Below are 12,970 nucleotides of genomic sequence, written 5' to 3' on the forward strand. Positions count from 1 at the left end.
CAACTTAGACAAGTGTGAACTAAATAAACTAAAAAGCTTCTGCACAGGAAAATAAACTATCAACATAGTAAACAGACAACCTACAGAATGGGAGAAAATACAAACTATGCATCTGACTAAGGCCTAATATCCAGAAACTATGGGGAACTTAAACAAATCAACATGCAAAAAACAAATAACCCCTTTAAAAAATGAGCAAAGGACATATCCATGAACAGACACTTCTCAAAAGAAGACGTATAAGTGGCCACCATACATATGCAAATCAAAACCACCATGAGATACCATGTCACACCAGTCAGAATGGCTATTACTAAAAAGTCAAAAAAACAACAGATGCTGGTGAGGCTGCAGAGGAAAGGGAACACTTATGCACTGCTGGTGGGAATATAAATTAGTTCAGCCACTGTGGAAAGCAGTCTGAAAATTTCTCAAAGAACTTAAAACAGAGCTATCATTTGACCTAGCAATCCCATTACTGGGCATACGCCTAAAGTAAAACAAATCATTCTACCAAAAAGACACACACTCATTTTGTTCATCACTATGGTATTCACAATAGCAAAGACCTGAAATCAATACAGGTGCCCAACAATAGAAGATTAGATGAAGAAAATGTGGCATATATATACCATGGAATACTATGCAGATGTAAAAAAGAATAGATTCATGTCCTTTGCAGCAACATGGATGCAGTTGGAGGCCGTAATTCTAAGCTAATTACTGCAGAAACAGAAAACTAAATGCCACATGTTCTCACTTATAACTGGGAGCTAAACATTGAGCACACATGGACATAAACATGGGAACAATAGATACTGCAGACTACTAGAGGAAAAAGGAAGGAGCATAGGTTGAAAAGCTACCTATTGGGTACTGTGTTTACTACCTGGGTGACAGAGTCCCAACTCAGCATCACAGTTTTCCCATGTAACAAACCAATATATGTACTTCTGTATCTAAAATAAAAGTTGAAATTTAAAAAGGAAGTCATTTTTTTCTAGGATGATGTGATTTTATGGCTTACTATTCAAGGGTAGAAGATGGACATGACTTAGAGAAAATAAGAAAAAATATTCCATCCTTCTTCTAGTCACCAGGAATACTACTATAAAAACAAAGTCAGTAAAAGCATGAGAGTGTGGGTCTTCAGTTTTTCTCCGTGAAACAGGAGTGGGAGTTTAGAGAGAACAGACATTATGTTGTTACCTTTCTGAGAAGTTAAGCTGTAAACATTCTCTGTTGCTATTTGTGAAACATACTTTTACAGAACTAAAGTCTAAGGGGAGCAGGTGCAAAGTAATTTATTCAAATAATGAATACACAGACCTTGAAGTTATTTTTTAAGTTGTGAAAAGAATAGACTGAGAAGAAAAATCAAATTGGTTTACATTTTGGAATCGATATTTCTTGATGATACAGGAGGCATCCTTCACCCACAGTCATAGGCTTGTGATTTCTGTAATTTTTCACAGTTGTTAAGTAAATAAAGAACTTGAGCAAGTTAAGTGTCTGTAAGGGGTTGCATTCACTACCTGAAACCTATGGTTTCATCTTTGGTTTTTCAGTAGTAGCAGAGGGACAACAAACCAGGCTTGAGATGTAGAGGACCTATGATCAGATGATTTGTTTGAGAGCCCAAACTAATTAACTTTAAACAAGTAAAATCAAAGTATTATTTAGGTTAAGGGCCTGCAAATTCAAATGTTTTCATAGGCCATATAGGTAACATAAATATGTGAATGGCACCGTATATAAACAAAATTGAGTTATAGCGCTTTGGGATTGAGATTACAAACTTCTTTGAAGGCAATCAAATTCAATTTAGAATGTTTTCTAAGCTGAACAAAGCAAGTTGCAAGCCAGATTTGACATTCATTTGTTGTTCAGTATCAAATTTTGAAAAAAAATACTTAAATGAGAAGCCTTCTGGCTTTTCAGGGAAATCGCTGATGTATGATGGCTTGACTTATGATTTTTCAACTGTGGAAAGTGATACACATTCAGTACTCTCCTTAATTTATGAGGGGTTTCTTCTGGATAGAACCATCATAAATCAAGGAGCATCTGTATATCATTATCATAAGATAATAAATACACATTTGCAGTAGCCAAAATTACCCAAGATAGCACTTTTTATACCAATGTTCTTGGGAAACTAAATTAGTCATCAGAGCAAAAGCAGTTATTGCTATAATCCCAGCTACTCGGGAGGCTTAGGCAGGAGAATCACTTGAACCCAGGAGGTGGAGGTTGCAGTGAGCTGAGATTGTGCCACTGCACTCCAGCCCGGGCAAGAGAGCAAGACTCTGTCTCAAGAAAAAAAAGCAGCTATTGCTTGTGAGAGATATGTTACTCTAGCTGTAGTTCATCTTTTAATAACTGAACTACTTTTGCCTACCAGCCACAATTTCTCTTCAATGGACCCTACAGTTATACAATCACTAATTCTTATTATTTAGCTCTCATTTTACTAGGTTTCATATAAGTTATTGAGGTTTTGCTATACATTCTGTCAGCAGAAGATAAAATAATTTAATTATATCTTTATTGGTTATATAAAACATATATAGTTATATATATACAATTTTGTATCTAGAAATGTATTTCATTATTTAGTTTACATATATTTCATTATCTAATTATATTAAGGACTTGAACATACTTTCTAATCATTTTGATTAAATTTTATACCATTCCAACTTTCTTAGCAATACATTTGAATTATGATAATTTCTTCTTCCATTTTGTGTTGCTATGACAGAGTATCTGAGACTGGTAATTTATAAAAATCAAGAGGTTTATTTGGTTCATGACTGTGGTGGATGGAAAATCCAGGATTGCACAGATGCATCTGGCAAGGGCCTCAGGCTGCTTCCACTCATAGCAGAAAATGGAAGGGTAGCCAGCATGTGTAAAGAGATCACATGGTGAAACAGGAAGGAAGAGAAGAAATCGTGGAAGTCAGATTATTTTTAAAAACCCACTTTCTTGGTATTTAATCCATTCCAGGGAGAGAAAAAACTGATTGACCCCCAAAAGAGGGCATTAACCTATTTCTGAAGAATCTGCCCCCATGACAAAAACACCTCCCACTATAATCCACCTCCCAACACTGCCAAGTGTGTGATCAAATTTCAATATGAGTTTTGATGAGGACAGACAAACTATATCCAAGCCCTAGCAAAGAACTATTAAAGATGAAAACCCATGCAGCTATTCATCAGAATGGCAGGAAAAAAAAAATGTCTACAGAAGAGAATGAGAGATACTTTGACCTGACACTAAAGGAAAGTGATTGAGGATATCTAAGAGACTCTAGAGAGGAAAGATGAGGACTGCCAATTAAAATAAATGTTCCCAATATCCCCAGCATGAGATGAGACTACAAGTGAGATGCAGGTTGAGAGGAGGCTGGAGAGAGAAACTTGTTTACCTGTGGATCCAGAAAGGTGAGAAGATGAAGTAAAACACCTGTAAGAGTAGATCCTGGCCAGCAGAGATAAAAGCTTTGTTATCTTGGGTAAGTTAGTGGTTATTCTGTGTGTTTATAAAACTCATTGCATGCTCGGGATGCGAGTATCGGGGATGGAGGAGTAACAGGTTTTTACTTAAGATGTGGCCTGCATTGGCAATCCAAGGAAGCTGGAAGACCACAGGGAGGACGTAGGGAGAAGGATGGTAATTAACAGCAATGTTGCAAAACTATTCCTGCAGAAAGTTGAGACATAATATATCACCTAATCTTTTGGCTTTAGATAGTACCAAAAACCAGCTACATTTTAATATTACCTTTAGAAACAAAATGATATAGCTGCATTAAAATAATGTGCCTATGTGTTACTTTTTCTGTGTAAGAAATTATTCCAAATTTAGCATCTTAAAAATTAACATCTTTTTGTTACTTTCTCTGTGTAAGAAATTATCCCAAATTTGGCATCTTAAAAATTAATGCTTATTACAACACACACTTTCAGAGGGTCAGGAAATATAAGAGTTGCTTCCTTGGGTGGTTCTAGTTCATGGTCTCTCATGAGGTTGCGATCAAGCTGTAGGCTGTGGATTAAATCATCTTAAGGTTTGAAGTGTAAACCCATCCTGATGTTTCACAGAATACCCAGGCAATGTGTCAATGATCATCAATGATTTATTTGCTGTGAAGTAAATAGGCTTCTGAATATTAAAATTTCCTAGAAATCATCTGTGTTCATTCGTAGTCCTTATGGGTTATGTTAGGCATACATCATTCCTGGCGTTTTTCCTAATTATAGTTCCTGGTTTGACTGCATAAGAGAACCAGCTCCATACTTTATATAAGTCTTAAGAAAGGGAATTGTGGTATTGGGATACTATACCAACTCTTGAATATATCTTAATATAATGGAAAGATATAGAGTCAAAGAGACCTGAGTTTAAATCCAGACTCTGCACATACTAGCTGAGTGATATTGAGAAAGTCACTTTAACCTCTTAGAACTTATTTCTTCATCAATAGAATGGAGGAAATAATGGTTTGTTAGTTCAGTTTCAGACCTATGGTGGTAATTATATTAAGCAAAGAATACACACACACACAAAATATATATATATATATATCATATATACATATGATATTATATATGTCATATATAACCTAGCCCTACAAAGTGCTCAATAAATGGTAATTATTATTATGATAGTTTTATGTACATATATATATGTATATGCCAGCCTAATAGCTTAACATTATGAAAGAAACATGGGCTTTAAAGTAAAAAAATAAAATCAAATAAAAACTGGATTTGTGTCTTGGCTGGAATCATCATTTATTAGCTGAGTGATCTTAACAGTTTTTTATCCTCTCAAAGCTTCAATTTTTTCATCAGTAATGTTTGACTTTAATAATAATATCTACCTCAAAGGGTCATATGCCCCTAACATCTTCTAAATTAGAAAGAAAAGTTAGCAGTGCCACTACTACTATTGCCAAATAATTTCACTGATACTACCTTTTCTCACCTTTCCTAACTAGCATCTTCCCTCCACAACTTGGCAATCTTGTTCTTTTCTCAGGATTGCCATGGAAGGAACACAGATGAACACACACACACACACACACACACACACACACACTGATCCTTATAGCACCTTAAGGCACACTGGAAGTTAGAGAGCAAGCTCTTTCAGCTTATGTCTTATCAGAAACTTCGTGGTGCATTTATGATGCCTTCAGACCACAAGCCTATACTCCTGAGCTGAGAACATCGGGGAAAATCATCAGTAGACACCCTATTAGTGGAATTCATCAGGCTTCATTCTCCCATTCAGATAGCCAATACTGCTGTTCTCACTTAAATTACCTGACCCTGCCCTCTGATTCCTGGCTTAGCACAGCTGCAGTAAACATCCCTTTCCTTGCAGACAACCATTGTATAATGATCTCTGTCAATGGGACTCAATAAGGCTTGGATAAAGGCCTGAGGCCTCCCTGATTCCAACCAGAGCATCAATGGAATATTTACCCACCAAGTCCACTGCTGAAGATACAACAATACTAACCTGAATGAAGGAAATACATAAAATAGGAAGAAATACAAATGGCCATGTGCCATGTTTACCTCGGGTATGAGCATTGTTTTCTATTAAGTTCTGTGAGGAATGTTAATTCAGAAATATTTATTTCATACCAAGAATCCAGGTGATGCTGATGCATACAAAAAGTTGAGAGAAACTGGTTTTGTCACATTCTCTGTAATATCAGATTTTCTCAGTAGATGGTGTTGTCAAACAATTTTTCTCTATTTCTGTCATCATATTAATAGTTTTTCATCAGCATCAAACAAGGTAGCAAATTTTTTCTCTCCATACTCTTTTCACTGTTTGGTAAGTTTGCATTTTCTTAGCTTCATCTGTTCTATTTTCTCAAGACACACACACACACACACACACACACACACAATATGTATAAAATGGAGTAGTCCAAAGTTAGGAGAATAAGTTACTAGGCCAGAATTGGCTACCATTTCCTATAAAGGGCAAGAGAGGAAATATGTTGCATTTTACCAAACATAATCTCTATTGCAACTACATAACTCAGCCAAATAGCATGCAAACAACCCTACAGAATATGTTTAAAAAAATGAGTGTAGAGCTGTTCCAAAAAAAATTTAGTTATGGGCACTAAAATTTAAATTTCAAGTAATTTATTTTTTTTAACACACAGTCTTGCTCTGTTGCTCAGGCTGGAGTACAGTGGTGCTATCTCAGCTCACCGCAACCTCCACATCCCAGGCTCAAGCAATTCTTGTGTCTCAGCCTCCCGAGTAGCTGGGGTTACTGGCGACGCCACCATGCCCAACTAACTTTTGTATTTTTAGTAGAGACAGGGTTTTGCCATGTTGGCCAGGCTGGTAAGAAACTCCTGGCCTCAAGTGATCTGCCTGCTTTGGCCTCCCGAAGTGCTGGGATTACAGGCATAAGCCACCGTGCCTGGCCCAATTTCAATTAATTCTTAGATATCACAAAATAGTTTTCTTCTTTTGATTGTCTTTTAACCACTTAAAAATGTAAAAACCATTCATAGCTCACAGGCTATATAAAAACAGAGAGTGACCTACATTTGGCCTGCTGTCTGTGGGCTGTAATTTGATGACCCTTGGTCTATATATTTATACTTGTTGAAACCAAAGTTACTGTAGTTAAGAGCTTAGACTCTGATGTCTGGCAGTCTGGGAACAAGTGTTGGCTTGGGAATGTTAGTTCTCTAACTGTTTCAAGCGTTATTTTCTTTATCTCTATAATGGGAGTAATAATAGTAAAGGCCTTTTAGGGTTATTGAAATAATTATGACTTGATTTGTGAAAAGAGCTCAGAATAGCATAGAATGTATGGAAAGCAGCCAGTACATTATAACTATTGTTATAGGCTAAATCCTTTTCTAGACATTTTCAACACATCACCTCACTTCAATTTCATAATAATGCTTTGATGTAGGTATTATTATGTCTCCTTAAGAGATAAGGAAACCAAAACTCAAAGAGGTAAGTGATTTGCTCTAGGTTACATAGCCAGTAGACAGTAGGCCTGAATTTGAAGTCACACTCAGGTTTTACCCCACGCTCATGCTTTGCCACTCTGCTTACCTTTTCCTTGAGCTCATTTGTGTAATGCTCTGGATAAAGTCTCAAACTCTTTGTTAAATAGTGCTAGTCATAATTTTTGTTTCTTTTTGGGACGGATTCTCACCCTTATACCCAGGCTAGAGTGCAATGGTGTGATCATAGCTCACTGCAACCTTGAACTCTTGGGCTCTGGTGATCCTCGTGCCTCAGCCTCCCAAGTAGCCAATACTACAGGTGTGTGCAGCCATGCCTGGCTATTTTTTATATTTTTGTATAAATGAGGTCTCACTATATTGCCCAGGCTGGTCTCAAACTCCTGACCTCAAGTGATCCTCCTGCCTTGGCCTCCCAAAGTGCTAGTAATACAGGCATGAGCCACTATAACCAGACAAAATTTATATTTTTAGGAGCTACTGAGATTCACAATCAACATACTAATTTGTGTTTTATACAAAATAGCTTGTGAAACTCAAAAAATATAGTTGTTATGATAGTTTTGTGTGTCAACTTGGCTAGGCTATGGTACCCAGTTGTTTAAACACTGATATAGGTGCTGCTGTGAAGGTATTTTGTAGATGTGTTAACATGTACAATGAGTTAAGTTGAGTAAAGGAGATTACTTTGATTATATGGGTGAACATTACTGAGTCAACTGAAAGGCCTTAAAAGAAAATAAGATTTTCCTGAGAAAAAAAAAAGCAGCCTCAAAACTGCAACATTAGTTTCCAGTCTATCAGCCTGCCTTACAAATTTCAGAATTAGAAGCTCCCAAAACCATATAAGCCAATGTGTTTTCTTTAATTTTTAATTTTTGTGAGTACACACTAGGTGTCTATATCTATGGGGTACATGAGATGTTTGGATAAAGATGTAAAGTTTTAACACGCTAAAAAAAAAACTAGGTTTGTCTTCATTTGTACATATAACTAGGCTTTCTCTAGCTTCTCTATCTTAGGGGAAAATTTAGGTGATAGCAACAATTGCAAAGCAGGATTTCTCTGGCTCTTCTCTCTTACTCTATAGTAGCATTTCTCAACTGGGGACAATTTTGCCTACTCAGCGGACATTTGGCAATACGTGGAGACATTTTTGGTTGACACAGCTGATGAGTACAACTAGAATCTAGTAGGCAGATATCAGAGATGCTGCTAAATATTTTCATTGCAAAGGTTAACCCCCCACGACAAAGCACTATTCATCCTAAAATGTCATACTTCCAAAATTGAGGAAAGCTTATCTATAGGAAACAGTCTCTTCAAAATCTTTTCAAATTTTTATTGGAGTCGCCAGGTAGGAACAAAAATGCTCCGTTTCACTTTGATTCCTTTTTTGCTGCCAGTGCTAATAGTAGTAACTATAGAATCATTGTCTAAGAAGTGCTCAACACTGGTGTTGGAGCTTGCTGTATGTAGAGATGCTATTTCTAATACATGTTGTTACCTGAGATGAGGCTACAGATGCCTAATATCTAGAATTCCAGTGTCTGTGTTGAAGATATCACCTATCATCATTGCTGGAACTGCTGGAACTATTGTTTCCAGTACCAGAGTCTTCTGCTCTCTCATCATTCCTACTCTGCTCAAGGTTTTTTATTCTTTTTGTAAAATTTTTTTATTTTTAATTTTTTTTTGGTACATAGTAGGTGTATATATTTATGGAGTACATGAGATATTTTGGAACAGGTATGCAAATGCGTAATAACCACTTCATGGAAAATTGGATGCCCATCCCTTCAAGCATTTATCCTTTGTCTTACAAACAATCCAGTTATACTCTTTCAGTTATTTTAAAATGTACAACAAATTATTGTACCTGCTGTACAATTGTACCCGTTACCTGCTGTTTTTTCACAGCCTTCTCTTCCTGAGATGCAGGAAACAATTTAGTTGATATTTACCATGTTGTACTCAAAGTTACTCTTTACTTTGAATGGTCTATTTTTCTACAAACAGCTTAGTTTCCTCAACTACTTTTTCCTTAGAATGAATTATCTCCCAAGAGTACTTTAAGTCCCTGGTTTTAATCTATAATGGACACATATTAGCAACTCTATAAATATGATAAGCTACACCCAAACCTTTCTGTGGGCCACTTTTTTCCTCGGATAAAGATTTTCTGCTATATAAACAATTGATTACTTCATTCAACTGCTGTACACATATTTATTGAGCACAACTCATCACACAAAAATTTTATTGAGTAGTTAGCTAGGCAGTTGTTTGAGAAATGAAGATATAGCAGTGGCAAGGTAAGACAAGACCTTTTCCCCAATAGCTGGAAAAGAGAGGAAAAAAAATAAGCAAATAAAAGTATTCATCTGAAATAAACTAAAACAGTATAATGTGACTTGTAATATAGAGAGATGATTCTTTGTAATGGGTGCAGTCAGGGAAGACTTCTCTGAGGGTTAGTATTTAACCAGATATCTGAACAATGTGAAATATCTAGAGGACACAAATTTGAAGCAGGGTGAATAAGTGGAATCAAGAGACAGAAAAACAGTCAGTGTGACTGGAACATAGCGAGCAAGGGAATGTGTGGTACAATGTGAAGTCAGTCTGGCAATCTCCAGATCGTGTAGTTTCTATTAAGTTCTAAACGTGGTGCTCTGTGCTAGGATATCTTTGTAAGCCAATTATATTATGGACCTTGCTCAAAGCATAATTAAAAAGATATGCTAATCAAAATTCACAGAACTAAGTATATAATTGCAAAGTACTTTATGGTAAGTGCTATTAAGGAGATTACCTAATGTTATGAGAGCATATAAATAAAGTGTGAAACCTGATTTGATTAAAGAAAAGTTTCCCCAGACAATGATGATGAGCTGAGATGCATAGGATAAGTAGTTAGTAAGATAGAATGAGAGAAAGATTGGAATTATAGACAAAATAAGTTAACTTTTTCCACTTTTTAACAAGTAGTGAGGCAAGAAACAGATGTCCTTTTAAGAAACTAAAGTTATTTTTCTCTTTTCACTTGGATGTACAAAATAAGAAGTTTAGATTAAGAAGAAACAAGTAGTTTAAGAGTAAAAGTACACTTTGGTTAACAATACAATCATTAAACCTTAAAGGCCTCACTCCAGGTTTCTGGTGGTCATTGATTTCTCTTTCTGTGCTGCTGTTACAGCGTGACATAGAAAAGAAGGATACACTTAGATCTGGTGAGGTGGGGCCAATGTAAGCTGAACAGCAATGTACTGCTGCTGTCTTCCAGGGGAAGTAGGTGAATAGTCATTTTGGGAAAGGCACTGCATCACCAGCTTCTAGAAAATTTTTTCAAGAGTCTGACCATTGTATTTTTTCTCAAATATATTTTTTTAAATCTCTCCCTGGAGAGTGGCTTTGAACTCTAGCTTTGCTCAGATAGGGCTCCCATAAATTTGGTGGTAAATATTTATGTGTTTTTCATGATAGTTCTTTATCCTGGTGGATGACCAAATGCCTGTGCCTGATCATACCCAGGTATCTTCCTCACAGAAAGAACATTTTTAGGCTGTCAGAATCCTTTTTGGTTCTTGTCTGACCTGTGTCCAGTTTATTCCTACTAAGATAGCCACTCCACAGCAGAGTCCTGACCAGGAGGAGAATCAGGTGTGACACAGAGAAGGCAACTCAACAAAATGCACAAGATAACAGAAGCAGTGTATTACTTACAAATCCCGGAGAGAAGAAGGCAGCATGCCTCACAGGGAAAACAGGAAGTAGGGAAGCTTTCTGGGACACATTGGTTCAACCAACAGGTGGGGAGGAAGAGAGAGAGAAAAAGGAGCCTGTGGGCCAAAGCCTTCATTGAGATCCAAGGTGTTACCCAAGCAAGTTTTCTGTGTGGAGTTCTAATTGGTGGGTTATGAATATGCAGGCATGTGTTCCATGGATTCCCACTGTGACTGAAAAGTGACCGCTATGGCTTATCTGCAAAGCCTGTGTAGGATGTGGGGATCAGTCAGGTAGTATATAGCTGTCCCATAAAGATGTGGTCAGTAGGAGGTGATTGTATAAGAAAGATATATGGATAGATCTGCTTGAGGAACTACGGGAGGCAGAGAACTGGGAACTGTGTCAAGGATGACTAAGCCTTGCTTGTGGTATGAAAAAGCCAACCCTATATTCAAAATAAATGTCAAGGCAACATAACTCTATTAGGATCTACTATACTGGCCTCATAAAAACTTTGACCAATCAGACTATTCTAGCAACTTGGAGTTCTGGAAATGTTTTTCGTGAAGTAAACAGAAAAGGAAAACAATGCTAAATGATGGCAATTAATATGTATAAACCAAGAAGTAATTTTATTTTATTTTATTTTAGAAACTGATGTTTATTTTCCATCAACCATTTTTCCATGCTGCTTAAGAGCCTATGCAAGAACAGCTTAAGACCAGTCAGTGGTTGCTCCTACCCATTCAGTGGCCTGAGCAGTGGGAGCTGCAGACCAGTCTTCCGTGGCACGCTGAGTGCTCCAGTCTTCAGTAGGGAACTGCTGAATAGGCACAGAGGGCACCTGTACACCTTCAGACCAGTCTGCAACCTCAGGCTGAGTAGCAGTGAACTCAGGAGCTGGAGCAGTCCATTCACCCTGAAGTTCCTCCCTGGTCATTGCCTTTTCAGCAGCAGCCTGCTCTTCTTTTTCAATCTCTTCAGGATCTCTGTAGAAGTAGAGATCAGGCATGACCTCCCATGGGTGTTCACGGGAAATGGTGCCACGCATGCGCAGAACTTCCCGAGCCAGCATCCACCACATCAAACCCACTGAGTGAGTTCCCTTGTTGTTGCATGGGATGGCAATGTCCACATAGTGCAGAGGAGAATCTGTGTTACACAGAGCAATGGTAGGTAGGTTAACATAAGATGCCTCCGTGAGAGGCTGGTGGTCAGCCCTGGGGTCACTAACCACAAGAAGCCGTGGCTCCCGGAAGGCTGCCTGGATCTGGTTAGTGAAGGTTCCAGGAGTGAAGCGGCCAGCAATTGGAGTGGCTCCAGTGGCAGCAGCAAACTTCAGCACAGCCCTCTGGCCAGTATTCCTGGAGGATATAACACTGACATCAGCAGGGTTTTCAATGGCAACAATAGCACGAGCTGTCAGCAGAAGCTTCTCCCAGGTCCTCTTCAGATTTATGATATAGATGCCATCACTTTTCCTTTTATAGATGTACTGTTCCATCTGGAAGTCAAGATTGGTGCCACCTAAGTGGGTTCCTGCTGCAAGGAACTTAAGGACATCCTCCTCCTTCATTTGCAGGACATCAAGGGCTCCGGACATTGTGAAAGTTTCCCTTTAAGTTACGACGGGAATCTAGAACAACCCCCTATGGACCCCTCTGTAGGTAGTGCGGAAAGACCAAGAAGTAATTTTATAACATTAATGTGTGTATATATCGGTAAAATGTCAGCTGCAGGTAAGGGAACAATTGACTGAGTGGCTTAAGCCAGAATTTAAAATGTATTGTGTAAGAAGAAATCAAGAGATAGATAATCCCTGGCTTGGTACAGTGCCAGAGTGGACCTCTTAAAAAGTGATGATTATGATAGTCTTTTAAATACTTCCTTCTCTAAATGTTTAATGTCAAAGTTTAACTTTGTTTTAATTTTAATGTTTTGTTTAATTTTGATGTTGGTATTGATGTTTTCAAATGAGCAAAGTGCATGTAATCATCACCACCACCAATACACTCTCATTGCTAATATTTGATTACAAAATAAGATAAATATTGACCTGTTATTAGATAATTCTCAAATTCTAAGAGAAGTTAGAAAGAAGTTTGGAAACCTAAATGATCCCTTGTCAAAAATAGACTTAAGCAGTACTCCTATAAATAACCAAATTTTGAATGCTCTCAAGTACAGATTAAAGTCAAAGTAGATAAA

General features: G+C 37.5%; 1 pseudogene, besides 1 other annotated feature; it reads right to left on the bottom strand.

Annotated features, from left to right (window-relative positions):
* Nucleotides 10,851–11,051: a silencer, noted in NCBI's record as "peak7403 fragment used in MPRA reporter construct". NCBI's record gives its function as "represses an SCP1 promoter by STARR-seq MPRAs in K562 erythroleukemia cells {active_cell/tissue: K562}" and the evidence as "EXISTENCE:reporter gene assay evidence [ECO:0000049][PMID:32103011]".
* RPSAP15 (ribosomal protein SA pseudogene 15) lies at nt 11,408–12,441 on the bottom strand (annotated as a pseudogene).

Source organism: Homo sapiens, chromosome X (genome assembly GCF_000001405.40).
Source record: "Homo sapiens chromosome X, GRCh38.p14 Primary Assembly".
NCBI lineage: Eukaryota > Metazoa > Chordata > Mammalia > Primates > Hominidae > Homo > Homo sapiens.